This window comes from Homo sapiens, chromosome 16, assembly GCF_000001405.40.
Source record: "Homo sapiens chromosome 16, GRCh38.p14 Primary Assembly".
NCBI classification, from domain to species: Eukaryota; Metazoa; Chordata; class Mammalia; order Primates; family Hominidae; genus Homo; species Homo sapiens.
Genome location: NC_000016.10, coordinates 14,250,270 through 14,270,283, shown reverse-complemented (window position 1 = coordinate 14,270,283; position 20,014 = coordinate 14,250,270). Strand labels below are relative to the sequence as shown.

Genomic DNA, 20,014 nt, shown 5'->3' with positions numbered 1-20,014 from the left:
CAGGAATAAACCCCACTTGGTCATGCTATATAACAGTTTTTGCATATTACTGGATTTCATTTGCCAGTATTTTATTTAGGACTTTAGTTTCTATATACATCAGAAATATCGTTCTTACTAATCTTTTTTACCATAAAATATTTCCAACTCACAAAAAATAGGGATAGTTAAAATCAACTAGTTAACAATTAGTATTTTGCTATATTGGCTATAGAATTATTAAATATTAGAAAGTTAAAGCCTCCTTTCAGATGTTCCCCAATCTAGTTTTTTCTTTCCAGAAATATTCTGAATCTTGAAACTGACCTGAGTCCTTACCACCCATGTTTTTATACTTTATAAAACACACAGCCTTGTTTTAAAATGTTACTTGAATTATGCAGGCTTTATTCTGCACTTTTTTCCCCCTCAGCATTTTGTTTCAAGATTCTTTTACATTGGCACATTAGATTTAGTTCATTCCTGTAAATTGCAGTGTTTAATGGTTCTCTAATTGAAAGGCATAGGAGTTGCTTGCAATTTTTGCTTTGTAAATGCTTTAGTGTTCATTCTTACACGTGATTTCCTGTGTACGTCTGTGTTTCTCAAGGATGTGTACAAAAAATTGATTTGCTGGATCACAGAGTTTGTGTGTCTTCAACCTTGCTAGGTATTTAAAAATCTTACTGCTCTTGAGCTTTGGTATGTGTTCAAATGGTTACAGAAGCCCCAGCAAGATAGTGTTTAATAACAAGTCATTTTGCATGGCCCAGTCAGTAGAGTTCACTTAAAACGCTCCAGTCTTGGACTCCATGTTCTGGCTGGCTTTAATCTAGTAAAAAGCCATACATTGGATGCCATTAAACATTTGTGAGCAGGTACTTTAGAAAATGTGAGAGACTGAGGAGGTCTAATCAAGACAGTTAGTGGAACCTCATGATAGACATGAATTAAGCTGTACTCAATTGTATTCACAAAGTATCTGGACAAAGGCAGAGAGTTGTATATAGAGTCTACAGGAATGGTGCTATGGTTTGAATGTTTGTGTCTCTAAAATTCATGTTGAATCTTAATCCCCATGCAATGTATTAGAAGTTTGGACCTTTAGGAGGTGATTAAGTGATGAGGGCTCTGCTCTCATGAATGGGATTTAGTGCCCTTATAAAAGGCAGCCTGTTTGTGTGTGTTGTGTGTGTGTGTTTTGGCCTTTCTGTCCCTTCCTCTTTGTGAGGATGCAGCAAAAAGGCACCATCTTCCAAGCAGAGACCTGGACCTCACCAGACACTGAATCTGCTGGAACCTTGATGTTGGATCTTCCAGTCTCTAGAACTGTGACCACTATGTTTCAGCTGTTTGTAAATTGTCCAGTCTGAGGTATTTTATTATAGCTCCCTGAACAGACTAAGACAGATGGTTTGGGTTCTGGGGTTTCAGAAGCTTGGTCTCAAATCTGTGCTGTTTCCTTTGTGATTTCAGGCAAGTCATTTGCCTTCCTTTTTTTTTTTTTTTTTGAGATGGAGTTTCACTCTTGTTGCCCAGGCTGGATTGCAATGGCGTGATCTCGGCTCACTGCAACCTCCACCTCCTAGGTTCAAGGGATTTTCCTGCCTCAGCCTACCAAGTAGCTGGGACTACAGGCATGCACCACCATGCCTGGCTAGTTTTTTTGTGTGTGTGTTTAGTAGAGATGGAGTTTCACCATGTTGTTCAGTCTAGTCTTGAACTACTGACCTCAGGTGACCCACCCGCCTTGGCCTCCCAAAGTGCTGGGATTACAGGTGTGAGCCACTGCACCCGGCCTCAAAGGTCTTTATTTGAATCTTGGATGGGAAACACTTTAATTCTTAACAATTAACCTGACTAAAAGCCCTTTTTCACCATTAATCAAACTTCAGCTTTGGCTTGGACAGTATTAGCATTGAAATAATTTGGGGTTTGGATGCTTCTGACAAGTCTGTTGTACGTCCAATGGCAAGCAGGAGGACGCTGCAGAGTGAGCACCCACAGGGCCATCATTCACGGATTTCCCCGTGGAATGATCTGTGACGCAATCGCATCCAACGAAAGGGCACAGAAAATGTTGATGAGGACCCTTGTTTCTCATCTCATCACACAACATAGGTTTAATTTAATTAGCCTGTCATGCATATTAACAGAAAAGACAGGACATCAATATGAGACTTCTTTCTGAAAGTTAAATTAGAAGTAATACTTGGCCAGGTGCAGTGGCTCACACCTGTGATCCCTGTGCTTTGAGAGGCTGAGGTGGGTGGATCACCTGAGGTCAGGAGTTCGAGACCAGCCTGGCTAACATGGTGAAACCCCAAAGCTACTAAAAAAATATAAAAATTGGCCAGGCATGGTGGCACGTGCCTGTAGTCCCAGCTACTTGGGAGGCTGAGGCTGAGGCAGGAGAATCACTTGAACCCAGGCAGCAGAGGGTTGCAGTGAGCCGAGATTGTGCCACCACACTCCAGCCTCGGTGACTGAGTGAGACTCTGTCTCAAAAAACAACAAAACTAATAAATAAAAAAAAATCTGTTGCAGGAAAAAACAATTTCTCCAATTAATTCTGACCTTGCCCAAGGGGCTGTCTGCCATGACAGCTTCCCCAGAGTTTCCTGTGACATCCCTTGCTCACTCCTCTTGGGCTCCCAGGGCACGTGCAATGCTTCCTTTGGCAAAGTTTTCTCTCAGACCAGCAGGGAGGTCTATTTTCTCCCCAAGGGCAGGATCTCTGCCTGGAACATATGATACTTTATGAATGGTTTAACCCTTTGCGCATCATCTCACTGGTCTGTTGAGGCTGCACTCTGGTTCCCTAAGTGTAATGAACATTTTGCTGTGTTTTGGTAATCAATATCTTTCTTTTCCCCTTTTCTGTGGTTGATACTCGGGCCTTTTTTCTTAATCAAATATTGATATATGGTATAGTTATTAGAGTTTACTCATTACTATTTTGTTTCTTCAAAGCAAAGAGAAAAAAAATTTTAACCAAACTCTGTTTTAAATGTTGGCTTCTGAGTTGAAATGAAATGCCATCTTACTAAAAGCATACTGAATTCTAAAGACCATTTTGTACAGTCTATAAAAATACCTCATATAAATAGTTGCTTTTGAAACTTGGCTAGATTGAAGGATTATGTGGGTCTTTCAGGAATTGTGGTGGTGGTGCATTGATGTTATTGAGTCAGTTTTCATTGTGCGTGTGTGCGCGCCGAGTGTGAAAATCAACCCCCTAGGGAGAACTACATATTTCTAACTTTCATTGTGGAAGAAAGAAACTCACTTTGTGTAAATCTTGACATATTCAAGTTCAGCTCGTACCTGTGAGTTTCTATTTTGTATCTCATGGTCTTGGATCCAGGGGAGGGTGACAAGTTCACAGGCTTGGCCTGCTGGCTTTCTGTTGTGAGTTGTATGCTAAAGGTATAGTGTCTCCTCCTAATAAATCCACTCCCGTTCCACAGTCTACAATGGCTCCACCAACCCATAGGGAGTGGTCTTTCCTCTGCACAGCAAGAATCATAGTACATCAAAATGTCTTTTATTTGAGACACAAAAATGCAAAATTGCTGAGATATCAAACATTTCCCGATCAGCTACAATACTGCCACTATGTACAAAAGATCTGATGATAAATGTGCACACATATAAAAATACAGTATGCATTACTTATGTACAGTACATGTGCAAAATGTATGGCATTCAAACATGATATGGAATTGATTTCAGGGGTGCAAACAGCAAATACAAAGGCATCATGGTTTTTCTTTTAAAAAACAACATAAAGGCAATAGATGAATGGACCCCCGATTGCCATAATTTTTTGTTGATTAAACTAGTGCTTCAACAAGCAGGGCTCTGTAGATTGGTATCTTTCTCCTTTTTTTCATAAAGTGAGATGCTAAGACATAATGTGACAATGAAAATAAGAAGAGAAACACCTATCACATTGCATTTCTATTGCAAGCAAGAAAAGAAAACTAATTTCTACATAGAAAAAAAACTTTGTATTACTACTGAATGTTACTCTTAAACCAACAAAACAACTCTATACTATTTTACATGAAAACAATAAGAGAAATATCTACATCTTAGTGAAAATTATAACCTTAAATGGATAATACCTTTTTGGGGCTGATTTTTGAGATCTCATTAGTCTCAAATTTTAAATAAAAAGTGCCTCCTTTTGGCAAATACTTGGCAATGCCTTTGGTTCCTTTAAAGCAAGTTTGCATTACTATTGGTTACTTGAGGTCAAGTACTTTTGGTAGATACTAAACCCTTTCCTAAATGCTTCCTCTTCCTACCAAATTAGCAAGATTCCTTACAGCATCACGTAGAGAGGTAATTGTTACGAGTTTCAGTATTCTATAAACTTTGTTAAAGCTTTGTCTTAGTAGTTGGCATAAAGCTCTGTTAAACACTATAGATGTGATGATATCTCTGATAACATATTTTATTTGATTCCCGACAGCACCTTGTAGATCCGAGATTGCCATCTTATTGTCACAAAGCTGTGACACCACAGAGCAAAGTGTTTGCATGGAGGGTAAGAGCTCTTCTGTAAACATGTGCAGCTTTTCGAATTGTAGGCCTTCCATGAAAGATTTCAGGTAGAAACCCTTTGTAATGATGTGTTTCCCTGGATACTGCAAGAAAGGGCGAATGTGGAAAAAACACGCACCTGCTCATTGCCATGCAGACAGAGTCACTTTACAAATAAAAATGTAGCTCAGAGAGACTGCTGAATGAGCAAGTTATTGAAGGTTTGAACCAGGAAAAAAAAATTACTACATCTTAGTTGTTTTCCAGTTTTGACTGAAATCACTTAAAAGATGAGTTGAAATGCAGTTAGGATGCTCTCCAGATACACACTGATGCATTTGTAAGCTATGTTCCTTGAAAAACCTGACCTTCCAGTTAATGTTCTTTGATAATTTTGGGCTAATTCTGTGGCCTCTAGGGCGGTGGGACGATTTGTATGGGTATTCTCTTGTCAGTATTCAATATTCATGTTTACAGTAGCAGATATTGAAAAATGGAGGGTTATTTGTGAATTTGGTTAAATTGACACATGTTGCTCTGCTAGTAGACACTGAATAGCTATTCTCTTTACATTTCTCTAAAAAGTCCCCAGCGGCACCATGAGCTCCCCACCTGAGTGACAGCCAGGACTTCTGTGAGGCTACCGTCAGGTGGGTGCATGGAAGCCAGTGAGGATGTATACTGAAATGTGGGCTTCTCACAAATATTTTAAACCCTGCCAAAGTGCTTTACCACGTCTCTAAGGCCAAGTCCATTTGAGGACAGTAAAGGGACTATCTCATCACTTGTGGGGATAGCTGTTTTGTCAACTGCTATGGCTGATTTCAGCCTGGGAATTCTGAAAGGACTGTGAAGAAAGCTATGCTGCCTGGAATGATCTGGGGTTGAGGGTCCAGGAAGCCTGAGTCAGCTCTGGTGACAAAATAGGTAGTGCGCCCCTGAGCCATCACTCAGGGTATGCTGACTGCACAGTTCAGAGGTGCTATCTCATTACTATGACTTTGCCTTCCATAGGCAGCAGCTTGCAGGCAGCACCACCCTGCCTTTGCCACTGTTTCTAAACAGCACTGAAAGCCAAAAAGTGTCAGTTACATGGATCACAGAACCATGCGGCTTTTAAAAAGGAAATTTAAATAAGATCTCTTTTAGAATTACAAAAATATTCATATGAAACAAACACAATAGTATCTAAGCAAGAAATTCCACAAATTCAGAATACATCTATGTACAATTATGTGGCAATACTATACAGTAGATTGCACATTTCAGGAAAAACACTAGAACGTGAACCACTAACACTGTCCTATGAGGTTTCCTAGTGGATGCTTTGCTGAAATGTACAAGATGACCACCTACTCCTAGACTTTCAAAGACTTTACAGAAATTTTGGTATAACTTTTAAATTCATCCCACCCCCAGTAGGATGATCTGACTATCTACATACAGCAGAAAGGTAAGGCTGGTACTACTGTGTTTTGAGAACATGTAGGAAAGTAAGATGGGGATGTGAGATAATGCCTTTCTAGGAGTTATTTTCTTGGCAGTATGATACTTTACAATATGATATACAACAGTACCACTGCTTAAACCACACACGTGCATAATGAAAATTCAACTGGCGACTTTGACTTGTGCTGTAATGGCTGTGACACTAACCTAAACAACAACAACAACCAGTCTTTAGTCAATATCCACCCTTCCTCATTGCACTCACCATCACACGCACTGAGTCCGGTCAGAAGGGCCTTGTTTACAGAGTATCATCTTTGGTCATGTCACATGAGTGTGAGCACATAGCGCGTCCTCACTCCAACCTGGAACATGTAGTGGAGATCCTGGAGAGCAGCACTCGTGTCACAGGTGCCTGGCTGGTGACCCAAGCCAGGAGAGAGGAGGGTCAAGCGGAATGGTGCAAGTGGAGTGGCTTGCAGAGTTAATGGGTAGAGATGCCTTGTCTTTTTAAAAGTGAAATACTGGTTTATAAAGGTTTAAACACATATGTGAAGTGGGCACTTTAGCAATTCATAGGAGAGTAGGCCAATGAGATAGCATTTTCTTGCACTGCACTGTGTATTTTTGGAGAGCAACCTTCCTGTGGCATGTTTCAAACCCTATTTTAAAAAGCAATAAAGGGACCCGAGAGCTAGAAAACTATCTACACAATTCAGGATTATGGAAATATAAAGTTATTCAACGAGAGTCAATGGTACTAGTGTTCGGTTACCTTCTACAGTCCCACTGATATTTGGTGCTAATTTAATAAGCCATTCAAATCTGAATGAAGAAGATGCTCAGGGTCTAAGTATGGACCTGATAGGCCCAGACAGAAACCCTCAGCAAAAAAACTGTGGCCAAGAACTGTAAGAAAAATACTTTCCCAAGTAAATAGCCTGGCCCTGGAGACAGGCCCCTCTCAATGGAACTGACTCGAGGATTCACAGAACATCTAGTGTGGTAAACTCTTGTAGGGCTTGGTCAAATGACGGTGTTCTGGTTAACAGAGAGTTATTGTATCCCGTGTGTTGGTTTACCAATTTCTGAACACTTAAACTATTCATCACAGACTACACTGAGCACAGTGGCCTCTGCCTTGAACCGTCTGGAAGGCACATGAGCACTGTTAGTGCCTTTGAGTCAGGAAGTGCCAGTGAGCAGAGGGCTCCAGTGTGCTCATGCTGGAAAAGCAGACTTTTGTTACACGTAGTAAAATTTATAAACCACACACACACAAATCAGAAATAAGATCAGCTCTTAGGCAAAACACAAACCCAGAAATAATTCACAAATTCTTTCCAAATAACGGGTCAGGCTGCCTCCGGCATGTCAGTATGGAACATTTACCATTTTGTGACCCAGGGGAACCAACCTGACCTGAGGGTTTACACAAGGGTGAGGTGGAGAGCACAATATTATTATTTAAGAAAAATCTCCATGCTCTTTTGGTAGATTTCAGTTTTTTGTTATTTACATTTTGTCATATACCTCAATGACTAGCTTGAAATAATCCTGTGATAGTTGGCATTTTAGAAAATTCTTAAGAAATGACTTAACACATATGTAATAACTGTTTTCTATATAAAAACACTAATAAAGCCTCCAGTTTTTCAATCTTAGGCTTGACAATATAGTGAGAGCTCTGGTAGAATATCCAGTTACAAGCCTGTAAAATGATAACCAGGGTTAGTGACAGAAGAAAGAGGGCCAGGGCAGGGACGTGGAGGCCCACCTTGTGGCACAATCTGACCTGTACTCATCATGGGAATGTCCTGGGTAGATGACAGACCTTCCCCTTACCTTCCATTCTTCTAACTCGCCAGCTCAGAAAGATATTTCATGCTAAAGCCTTTTCTTGGTTCTTTGAGATGGGTCTGGTTACCTGAAAGTTAGTCAGCAATTCTTTAAATACAGAAATACATGTGGCTCAAGTACTCTAGAAATATTCGAGCTATTAAAAAAGTAGGACCTTGGATACCCATTTCCTTACCCCAGCGTAGGCTGTACAAATCACAATGTCAGAGCATACATACAAATGTCTAATATATACATTAAAATCAATCTAACCAACCCAGAAGGTTGCTAATAGAATTTTCAGTGTTATCAGTATACCTGGACTTCTGACAGTATTTTGTAGGTATCTTCTGTTTATGTTGAAAGATCTTGCATTTAAATTTAAATTTGGAAATATAAAGTACGATTCCAAAAAATCACAAAATAAACTACAACACCAAAAAAACGACACAGGTTTCTGAATAGAACCAAAAGTCTTCAGCCAGAAGCTGTCACTGAACTGGCCAAGGCTCTCCACTGCCTTTGACCTCTGCTGTGTCTTGGGCCTGGCTCCGGCCGTCTCTAGGAAGTACCAAGTGCAGTGACCTCTCACCTCCCTCACATCAGCCTTAGTTTTTGAGTGGAGCTGTCTGCCTTTTATTTAGGGTCTTAAAGTGACCAGAGATTTAAATGTAGTTAATTACCAGAATCCTAACGTCACTGTGCTGCATATATTACTCTTCTTTGTTTTTATCTAAAGGTACTTTTCATTCTTTACTGAAGTCTGGAGAAATAGATGAGTCGTCTTTGACAAGTGCGATTTTCAGAAGGCCCTGTGCTATGTTAAACTGTAGAAATTCACTACTGAACACAATGAAATGTTTTCAAACTTGGGTTCCAGGCTATGACCTTCCACCTATTCTTTCTGTGACAACATATTTTGATTGCAACAATGCAACTATAGATCTATCTCTAAAAACTGACCTTTTAGAATCTTCATGTTCTTAAACCTCATCAACTCTCAGAAAAGAAATCTGTGACGTTAGTCCCATGGCAGCGGTAGGTCCTGTGGGTCTAGAAAGTCAGCAGAGAACATGCTCGGCGCGGTGGTGCTGAGAGGAGTGAGTCCTGAAGAGGAGTTGGGCATGGTAATGTCCAACCACTCCATGTTGTCCAAGTTTGAGTCTGACAGGTCGAGAGACAGACAGGGAGTACCTGCAGCAAACTGGGTCTCGGAAGTCTCCATGGGTGAGTGTGAATGGTCCAGCATACCTGAGTGACTCAGCAGATCATTCTGGAGGTCCTCGATCAGAGAGAAGGGCTCTCTGTCTTCACTGCTGCTTTGTAGTGGAGGAATTTCATTGGCTGAGGGTAAAGTTCCATCCAAGAAAGCTTCTAGTTGGTTCTCTAAGCTGGCAGATAAACTGCCCATAGGTTCTAAAGATACAGGTGGTGCCATTTGGACTTGGGGTGGTGGCCGGGACACCACTGTATTCACTGGCATTGTGGTGATGCTGGCTGTCACTGGTCTCATTTTGGAAATAGGAGAAGGTTCTTCTTTTATGGGGAGGGAGATCTCTGTGTAAAATAAATGAAGTAATTAGTAACTGAAGATTTACTACTACTTAAAAATTTTTATTAATTACTAGGACAGTTACATTGCTATTATGCGATTCCTTCTATGCACGTCCGTCTTAGAAGTAGGAAGAGAATGCTATTGGTCAGGTACAATCCTTGACAACCTTTAGGATGATGGATCATTTTAGTCAAATAGATAAACATAAAAGTTTATTACATTCCTTTTTGTTGTAAATTTAGTCAGCAGACTGTCCAAGACCAGTTTATTACATTCTGATATGCTTTAAATTCTTCTCAGTAAGACTAAGCATTAAAAGCAGTTATATCTCACTAGATAGGTATCAATGGTTTTAGATTATTTTATCTTTGAGTCGTTATTTTGTCATTAAAGTTTTAAGATAGGGCTCATATCATCCTATGAATCTATCTATAGCAACATGATACTCCTAATATAAATGTTGAAATGTACATCCTGAGTTTGTGCTGAGACATGAAGTACATCCTCAATGTTATGAAAGAGGTAATTACATTCTTTTTTCCTTTTTTTTTTTTTTATCATTACAGTTGGACTGGGTACCCAATTTAGCCATGTGCATTCTGTGTAAAGTTCTGAAAATATACAATGACATTTGATTTCATTTCTGAATTAAAGCTAACATATGGTTCCTTTGATCCTTTTCTTTTAAGGTGAGGTGGATCACTTGGTTATCTCTTTCACTTTTTGGTCTTGTTTTCTGAGCTTATATAAAATTTTGATGATTTGGTAAATGTCTTCATTATGTGTTATTCCTTGCCAGATCAGGCAGCAAATTAACAGACCATCTTCTATAAATACTGGCGTTCACTAAACTACATAAATGAATGAAGTATCTTAAGTTTTATGAGGCTATGATTGGTTTCATTTATATGCAGATACACTAGGAAAAATAAATTAACAATACCTCTTAAAGCTCAATGATTGCTATGTGCAAATGGCTGAGAGAAGGAACTTAAAATTTGATTCCTATAAATGAATTGTCAACTGTGTGTACTGCATTTATTTTTGAATGGTTTGTTACTTTTAATTATCAGTAGTCATCTCTAAAACTGTTTTGAAAGCTTTAAGTGTCATCTAAGTAACTAGTCTTTTTTATTTTTATTATTTTTATTTTTTTGAGACGGAGTCTTGCACTGTTGCCAAGCCTGGCTGGAGTGCGGTGGCATGATCTCAGCTCATTGCAGCCTCCACTTCCTGGGTTCTGGTGATGCTCCTGCCTCTCAGCCTCCTGGGTGGCTGGATTACAGGTGCCCTCCACCATGCCCAGCTAATTGTTGTATTTTTAGTTTCACCATGTTGGCCAGGCTGGTCTTGAACTCCTGACCTCAGGTGATCCGCTTGCCGTGGCCTCCCAAAGTGCTGGGATTACAGGCAGGGCAAGGCACGGTGTCACAAGTAACTAGTCTTGTAACTATATAAAACTTGGTTCTCGTTATTACTGATATTAGTAGACAAGATGAAATAATATACTTACTGGATACTTTGTCATTAAAAAAAATCTCATTTTAGAAAATAGCTTGATTGTGTCACATTTTAATTTCCAAGTTTAAGGTGCCTGCCACCACACCCGGCTAATTTTTGCTAATTTTTGTATTTTTAGTAGAGACGGGGGTTTCACCATGTTGGCCAGGCTGGTCTTGAACTCCTGACCTCAAGTGATCCACCTGCCTCGGGCTCCCAAAGTGCTGGGATTATAGGCATAAGCCACGGGGGTTGGCCGGCTGAAGTTATTTTTGTAAGGCCAATATAATTCTTAGCAAAAAATACTATTTGTGTGTGTAGATCTGTAGTCAAATATCAATTCTCTATGTCAACGTCAACTTCAGTGTCAAATAATACCTGCTATAAATGGAGAACTTCTGACCACTATTTGAAAATTCAAATAAAACTCCTTTCATCAGGGTAATTTTAAGACTACTCCAAATATGCAAATACTATCCAGGAATTTTTTTTTAAATATTGATTTTTATACTTCAAAGATATGTAAGCTGAGGCAACAATATCCTTGATTCTTTTTGTGGCTAATGTCTCTTTTTAATAAAGATGATATAAATCTAAGACTTCATATTATATTGTAGAAAATGCTTTAGCATTGACTTTGAATTTTAATAAAGATACTGGAGCCCATGCTAAGTGGCTTGATGTAACATAATTAAGATAGTATTGGCATGTTTTCATCCCATTACAATGACATACGCATGGAACAAGTTCTGAAGCTATTCAACATGGAATTTAAATCTGGTTCTACTTTGCTATCTGGTCTTTGTTTTTTAGCAGGCATCTATCTGTGGATAAATCTCACATTGTATTACTGTTTTAAGCTATCACAGTTCACTGCAGCCTTGACCTCCTGGGCTCAAGCAATCTTCCTACCTCAACTTCCTAGTAGCTGGGACCCCAGGGGTGTGCCATTACACTCTGTTAATTTTTAAAATTTTTTGTAGAGATGAGGTCTCATTATGTTTCCCAAGCTGGTCTCGAACTCCTGGGCTCAGACTCCCAAAGTGCTGGGATCATAGACGTGAGCCACCGCACCTGGCCATAAGTTCTTTTAATGGCCTAAATTTAACAGATTTTAAAACAGTAAATTCAGTTAGAAGAACACGTTTCTCAGTATCTAAAGATAAGCTATGAGTGCTTAAGAAAAACTTTCATGAACTTGGGTTAAGAGATGACTTCCTGGGAGGATCTGATGTGACTTTTGACTTACCTCCACTCTTAATGAGGATATCAAAGAGGTCATCCATCTGCTGACTGTGAGCGTTGGAAATCTACAATGAAGGAGAGTACAAATTAGGTTTCTTTCATACAAACCTGGAAGCATTATATAATTAGCAGTCCTAAGGGACTTTCTAGATGATTTAGTTCTAATCTATCGTGATAATTTTGAAAACACTGAGGTCACCTGAGAAGTTAAGCCATTTACCCAAGCTGTACAGCTGGTTAGTTGACACAGCAAGAACAGGGCTAGTTAGTACCCAGCTCCACCGATTTCTATGCTTCCCTTTTTTTCTATCACTGAATTGCATTTTGAGAGGCCTCTAATACCTTATTTTAAAAGTGTCTTTATTCATTTGTATTTAGGTAAAAATTTGTACAAAGGTGATCACACTATACATATTTGTTCAGTTCTATTGAGATTTACCTGACATATAATAAGGTGCACTTATGTAAAGTATACAATTTGATATGTTTTGACATATAAATATACCCATGAAACCATAAACAAAATCAAGATAATGAACATATCCATCGCCCTTAAAGTTTCCTCATCCCCTCATCCCCTCATCCGTAGGCAACCCCCGGATCTGTTTGCTTTCACTATAGATTAGTTTTATATGAATGGATTCATACTGTGTGTAGTTTCTTGGTGGTAGGGGAAGGACTAGCTTCTTTCACCCAGCATAATTATTCTGAGATTTATCTGTCTTACAGTGTGTACCTCAGGAACAGTTAATTTTTTTATTGCTGAGTAGCATTGCATTGTATGGAAACACAGCAGTTTGTTTATTCATTGACTTGTGGATGGACATTTGGGTTTCCAATTTTTGGCTATTACAAAAAAGTTGTTGTGAACATTTGTGTACAGGTCCTTGTATAGACATGTGTTTTCTCTTCTCTTGGGTAATTAGGAGTGGAATGACCGGATCACAGGACAGGTGTAGGTTTAACTTTTGAAGAAATGGCCAAACTGTTTTCCAAAGTGACTGTTCCATTTTACACTCCCACCCTCAGTATATGGTATAAGATTTCTAGTTGTTCTCCATTCTCACCAATACTTTGTAGGGTCAGTCTTTTCAATTTTAGATATTTCATTAGGTGTGTAGCGGTATTGCACAGGGGTTTTAATTTGCATTTCCCTAATGACTAATGATGTTGAGCATCTCTTCAAGTGCTTATCTGCCATCCATTTATCTTCTTTGGGAAAATATCTGTTCAAATCTTCTGGCTACTGCAGATTTCTTCTGCTGTCTGTTTGCATGGTCTATCTTTTTCCAGCCATTTACTTTCAGTGGTCTTTGTATTTAAAGTATGCCTCTTGTAGATACATGCATTAGTTACCTATTGATATATTATAAATTATTCCAAAACATAATGGCTTAAAATTATTATGTCACAGTTTTGTGGGTCAGGAATGGTTTTGATGGGTGGTTCTGGCTTCGGGTCTTTCATGAGGTTGCAGCCAGGATGTTGGTCAGGTTACCGCCAACTCTAGGTGTGGCTGGGGAATGCCCTTGACTGGCAAGTTAGTGCTGGCCATTGATGGGAGGCCTCAGTGCCCCTCCATGTGAGCCTCTCCAGATGGCTGCTGGCATGTCCACATGGCATGACAGCTGGCTTTTCCAGAGTGAGCACTCCATGGGAGAGCAAGGAAGAAGGGGCATGCCTTTTATGACTTAGTCTCTGGAGTCACACACCATCACCTCTGCCAATTCTGTTTGTTAGAAGTGAGTCGCTAAATCCAACCCAGAGAGGAATGTCAAAGAATTTGCAGACATATCTTAAAACTGCATACAGTTGAGTCTGGCTTTTATATCCACTCTGACAATTTTTTGCATTTTAATTGAATTGTTTAGTCATATGTGTTATAATTACTGACATGGTTAAGTTTGGGTTTACTATTTTATATTTTATATTTGTCTTCTATTCATCCCATCTGGGGTTTTTTTTTTTTTTGTTATCCTGTTTTTCTTTCCTGTCCTTAAAAAAAAATTTGACATTTTTGTATCTAATTTTTCTTTCTTTCTTTTTTTTTTTTTTGAGACAGTCTCGCTTTGTCACCCAGGATGGAGTGCAGTGGCACAGCCTCAGATCACTGCAGCCTCAACCCCCTGAGATCAAGTGATACTCCTACTTTAGCTTCCCAAGTAGCTGGGACTACAGGTATGCACCACCACACCTGGCTAATTTTTGTCTTTTTTGTAATGATGGGGTTTTATCATGTTGCCCAGGCTGGTCTTAAATTCCTAGGTTCAAGCAATCCTCCCACTTCGCCTCCCAAGGTGTTGAGATTACAGGCGTGAGATGCCATGCCAGGCCTTTCTATTGATTTTTTTTTTTAAAAGCTATCTTGAATCTTTTAAATTGTTACTATAGATATGCAATACATATCCTTAACTTCTCATAGGCTACTTAATGTTGTACACTGAATAAAACATAGAGATCCTACAACCACACAGATCCACTCATTTCCTCCCCCATCCTTTATTAATTATTTTAAGTATTGTCTACACATGCTATACACTCCTCAAGACAGTGTTATCTTTGGTGATGAACTAACTCAATTTTTCTTTATCTGAAAATATCTTTAGTTCACTTTCATTCTTAAGGGATATTTTAACATGATAATAGAATTCTGGGTTGACAATCCCTTCCACTTCTTCCTCCCTAAAAACTTCTAAACGTGCTGTTGCACTCTTCCAGTTTTCATAGTTTTTGATGAAAGGTTGACATTAATCAATTAGTTGTTTGCTCTGTGTGAAATGTGTTTTTTCTCTTGATGCATTTAAGATTTTCTCTGTCTTGTCAACAATTTGACTGTGATGTGATTTATCCAGCTTGTTTATCGAGCATCTCAAAGCTATAAATTTGTCTTTCATCCTATTTGTGAACATGTCAGCCATTGTTTCTTCAAATATTTGCCTCTTCAGTTCTTTCTCTCTTCTTCTGGGACTTCTCTTCTACCTATGCTAGACTGTTTTGTTTGAATTATATAACAGGATTCTGGGCTGTGTTCACTTCACAATCTCTGTTATTCAGATTGGATAAGTTATGATCTATCTTCAGGTTCATGACATTTTTTCCCCTGCCATCTCCATTCTGGTAAGTTCATCTATATATTTTTTTCATTTCAGATACTGTACTTTTTTAGTTCTCAAATTTCCATTTAGTTGTTAAAAATCATTTCTGTATCCACATGGATCCCTTTTATTACAAGCATATTTCCTTTTCCATCACTGAGGACAGCTGTAATAGTAGTTGCTTTGAAAACCTTGCCCGCAAGTTCTAACATCGAGATGAGCTCAGGATTGGTCTCAGCCTTTTTCCTTTGAGATAGGTTACATTTTCCCAATTCTTTGTATGATGCATGTTATGGATAAATGTTATGGATGTTAAATTGTGGCAACTGTGAATTCTGCTGTTATTCTCAGATGAATGGTTTCTATTGTTTTAGCAAGCTATTAACTTGGTTAGACTTAAAACTTCAAAATGTTTCTTGGGTAGATGTTCCAATCTCACTTTAGATCTTTTGTCTTCAGCTGAGCTGCTAAGCGTCCATTCCACGCCTGTATGGCTTAGGGGTCAGCCAGAGATGTGGGCACACAGAATTTGGGGATCTCCTCTCTGGCTTTTTCCCTCTGGTTGCTCTCAATTCAGTTATCTGGATTTCCAGGCCATAAAGACTATGGCTTTTCTCCAGTAACCCTGCCACTTAGCTGGACCCCAGAGTAAAAGCAGCACAAAGAGGGAAATCATGCCACATCACTCCCTTCCTGAGTGTGGATTCCCCACCAGAGAATGACTGCTTCTATTTACTCTTCAATGCGTTCAGGTAGTTGCTTTTTGTTATGACCCACATTAATAGCTATTATCTGTGGGAAGATTGAACCGGTAGGGCCTTACTTAGCCACTCGTGGAATTGCAAGTCTGAGTAAATGTATTTAAACGAAGTTTGGTGCTCAATGGCATATAAGCAGGACCTACAGGTGGCTACTCATTTGAATAACCAAAAACCAGTGTAGAACCTCAGTCTATAAACAGGAACCTAGAGACATGTAAATACCAGAGATTCCAATCAGCTGTCTTAGGTTACAGTGGAAGATTCATCAAGTAAGCAGGACTTAGAAAGGATGGGTACTATCTTTTTGTTTTCTTAAAAACTGCAGTTAAGCTCTTGGCAATTCACTTCGTCTCTGCTCCCCTGTGAAGAGAATAGATGTCACTCCGAATGGACCATGAGGGAGGAGTGTAGTCCAGCACCACCTGTTTGACTTCTTATTGCAAATATTTGAACCCGTCTTTGAAATCTGACTTTTCCCTCACAGACAAGGGCCTTTGCTGAGTCTGTAACTAAGGGACATCTTACAACTCAAAGTTACGTTCCCTCGGTACTCAGGGAATACAAAGCAGCATGTGGTAGGTTCCACTTCCTCCAAGAGGCAGCCCCCTACGGGCCCTGAGCATCCCTGGATGTCCTTGGTGAGGGTGCCAAACTGACAAGGTCGCCTGGACTGAGCAGCTTCTGTAGATGCTCACTGAGGCAACCAAGTGGGTCAAGGAAGCGTAGGCATGACTGCATACTCCCTGGGTGAGGGACTGGCTTGTTTGCTGCTTGCTAGAAAAAGCACAGAGCCCTTGGCCCCACGTTCCTTAGGTGCAGCTTGACCCACTGCATACACAGCCACCATGTGGCCCCAACAAGTTACCCCATGGAACACGGGAGCGGGAGAACTGGTACAACTGCACTGATGTTCCTGCTGTTTGCCGTGGATAATAAACAGTACCGCTTGGATATTGTCTCTTGGTGTCCACCTTTAGCACCCATGGAGCGGTGTCAGGGCCACTCCTTGAATCCTCTATGAGGCTGGGGTTCTTCCCTCAAAGGTTAGTTTTAAGCTTTGACAGAAAGCTTTAGAGAGAAAGATTGGAGGAGTGTTTAGGGTAATGTATGACAAGTACTCTCATGACTGGGCACCCACCATGGGCCATATGCTTTTACAAATAGGAACCCTAACTTCTTCCATTGCTTGGTATGGTTGGGGCTACTTCTGTTTTATCAGTCAAACAAGGAAGGCTCAGAGGCCACATGGTCACCATGTGTGGTGAAACCAGGAGAACCTCAGATCTGTTACCTCCAAGTGCATTTGCTCAGTGTATGAGCAAAGTCATTTGGATGGGCTGGCCTGCTGGGGGCAGAGGTTGCTGGAGACCAGAGAGAGACCAAGTCAATTTAGGTGCTGGTGGCCTTGAATGTCAGCCAGGTGTAACAGTGATACCATGTGTCATTTTGATGCTGGCCTGACACATGGTGGCTTTAGAAAAGAAGGGACCTGTATAAAATGTGTCCTGGTCATAATCACATCTATCTCTAACATGACTGATGCCCCTACCCCAAAAGAAAAGTTAAGAGATAAACCCTTAATTTCTGAATAAACAGTAAATGCAGTTATACTGCTGCTGAAAGCTGTTTAAGGTCTTCATGATAAATGACATTTTGATTTTAAATAACCATGTAAAATACAAGGTTATTTTTGTATTTCTATTGAGGCAAGTCAGTTTCAGACAAGGGATTCTGTATAGGTCTGCTCGAGACTGAACGTGGGCACATCCACCATAGCCTTATGCACCATGACCGTGCCCTCACTTACCTCTGGCAGAGGGGCCTGTGTGCTGCGTGTCTGCTTGATGGCCTCCTCATAGCGGGGGGGATCTTTTGTCTTGGCGACTGGACTCCCAAATAGAGAGTGCTGGACGACAAATTGCTGGGGTGGCGGGGGTGAACTAGGCTGTGTCAAATAAAGGAGGAGTGCACATTACCTCTTGGCAATAAACCTCTCTTTTCCTGGCTAGACTCGGCTCTGCTGTTCTCTATGTAGTGGCCAAATCAGGGAATTCATGAGCAGGTTCTTTTAAGCACCTGTGAGGCTGACAGCACTGGTGGCCACCTTATGTGCGAACGATCATCTTCACTGTGATAATAGCTGAGCTCCTCCTTCACAAGTTATCACTGTATTTTCAACAATTTTATCCCATTAACATTAGTCACTCCAAGCCCAAAGCACTAGGCTTTGGAATGATTTGATGCCCCTGCGGCACTGTCACTGACACACAAGCCTCACAGGGTTACCTTGTTGGGTGTGTTAGGTCCATTTTGCAGGGATGGAAGCGGAGCATTTCTGGATTGAAGAACACTGTTGGAGGCCTTATTGATAAAGGGCTGCTGGACAGCTGGGGCAGGATGTCTCTGATATGGAAGAACTGTATTTGATGATGCTGAGTTTGTGAAAACCTGTAATGAATAAATGTTTCTCCATTAATTTGTTCTTTGGCTTTTCTTAATGAAGTAAAGAAAACCATGTTTTAGGACAGGGGTCAGCAAACTTTTTCTGTAAAGGGCTGCAGAGTATATAGCTTATGATTTGTGGGTCACCTGGCCTCTGTTGTTACCACTTGGCTCTGCCATTGCAGCCTGAAAGCAGCCACAGACAGTACATGGATAAATGGGTGTGGCTGTGTGCCAATAAAACTTTATCCATACAAACAGGTGGTGGGTTAGATTTGGCCCACAGGCCAGGGTTTGCTTACCCCTATTTTCGAGCATATGTGGTCCCTTTACGCAGTAACTTGCCTTTGATGGTGGTACAGACAGAGCTTTGTGGAAAAACAGTGCTTGCTCTTTATAATTCTCCTCTTAAATGATAGCTGAATTTCTTCTATTCCTCTCTAAGGTGGGCTCATCTACTCTCAAGTCTTTTTTTTTTTTTTTTTTTTTTTGAGACGGAGTCTTGCTGTGTCACCCAGGCTGGAGTGCAGTGGTGCGATCTCGGCTCACTGCAAGCTCCGCCTCCCAGGTTCACGCCATTCTCCTGCCTCAGCCTCCCAAGTAGCTGGGACTACAGGCGCCCGCCACCACACCCAACTAATTTTTTGTATTTTTAGTAGAGACGGGGTTTCACTGTTGTTAGCCAGGATGGTCTCAATCTCCTGACCTCGTGATCCACCCGCCTCGGCCTCCCAAAGTGCTGGGATTACAGGCTTGAGCCACCGCGCCCGGCCTACTCTCAAGTCTTCAATGGCCATGACTAAGCTAATAATCCCAAGCCACTGCTCTACTTCCAACCTTGCTCCCAGGCGTCAAAGCCACTTACATCATCATCTTAGGTATCTCAAATTTAAAATATTCCAAACGATTTTTCTCCTTTTTCCCATTACCCCCTGCCTCTCAGCTTCTGAGGGAAAATAATTCTTGGTTCTGCTTTTTTTAAAACTTAGGTAAATAGGACTATCAGTCAACTCTGCTTTCTCCCTCAGTGTTCACACATCTCAGCGACGCCGCTTGAATCTGCCTCTGCTCTCTGCTGTCCTGCGCCTGGCCTTCACTATCTATCACAGGGATTCTGCAGCAGCCTTGCGGCATAGACCCCCTGCCACAACGTGTTCTCAAGGCATGGCCCCTACCACACTCCTTGGCTCTCCTGATTTGGGTAAAACCCTAATCTTTGGCTGGCATGTAAGCTTCTTACTACCTGGCCCCCTTTCCATCCTACCTAAAACCTCAACCTGCTGTGGTCACACTCAATTTTCCAGTTTCTTGAAAATGTCTTCAAATACAAGCAAGGCCCCATGTAAAACTGGTCCCCTTTGGAGAGGCTGTTTTCTGTTCCAACAGGCAAAGGTGAGAACTTCTTGCTGTGGAACTCCAAAATGTTTTGTTTAGCACCTCCATCAAGAGCCACAAGTTTTAGGGTCTTTTACAAATATGTGGCCATACTGCTGATATTGTAACTGTATTTCATAGAACTTGGTTTGCTCAAAAATACTTAACACGTTCTATACCACTAATATTCTAAAAAACCTCTGTATTTCATAAGCAGGAAAGTC

The 20,014-nt window shown here is 40.6% G+C and overlaps 1 protein-coding gene across 31 annotated transcripts in view; it reads right to left on the bottom strand.

Annotated features, from left to right (window-relative positions):
* Window positions 1-3,504: 3,504 nt before the first annotated feature.
* The window catches only part of MRTFB (myocardin related transcription factor B), a 272,006-nt gene continuing 255,496 nt past the window's right edge, over window positions 3,505-20,014 (bottom strand). For 21 of the 31 annotated variants that reach the window (XM_047434393.1, XM_047434392.1, XM_017023501.3 and 18 more), the window contains 4 exons: window positions 18,261-18,422; window positions 17,782-17,919; window positions 12,123-12,183; window positions 3,505-9,375 (listed from right to left, as the gene is read on the bottom strand). In XM_047434393.1, coding sequence (XP_047290349.1) covers window positions 8,840-9,375; window positions 12,123-12,183; window positions 17,782-17,919; window positions 18,261-18,422 — 897 coding nt within the window. In that variant the 3' untranslated portion in view covers window positions 3,505-8,839. The remainder of the gene's footprint in view (window positions 9,376-12,122; window positions 12,184-17,781; window positions 17,920-18,260; window positions 18,423-20,014) is intronic. The other 10 variants (XM_047434399.1, XM_047434398.1, XM_047434405.1 and 7 more) reach the window with 3 other exon arrangements.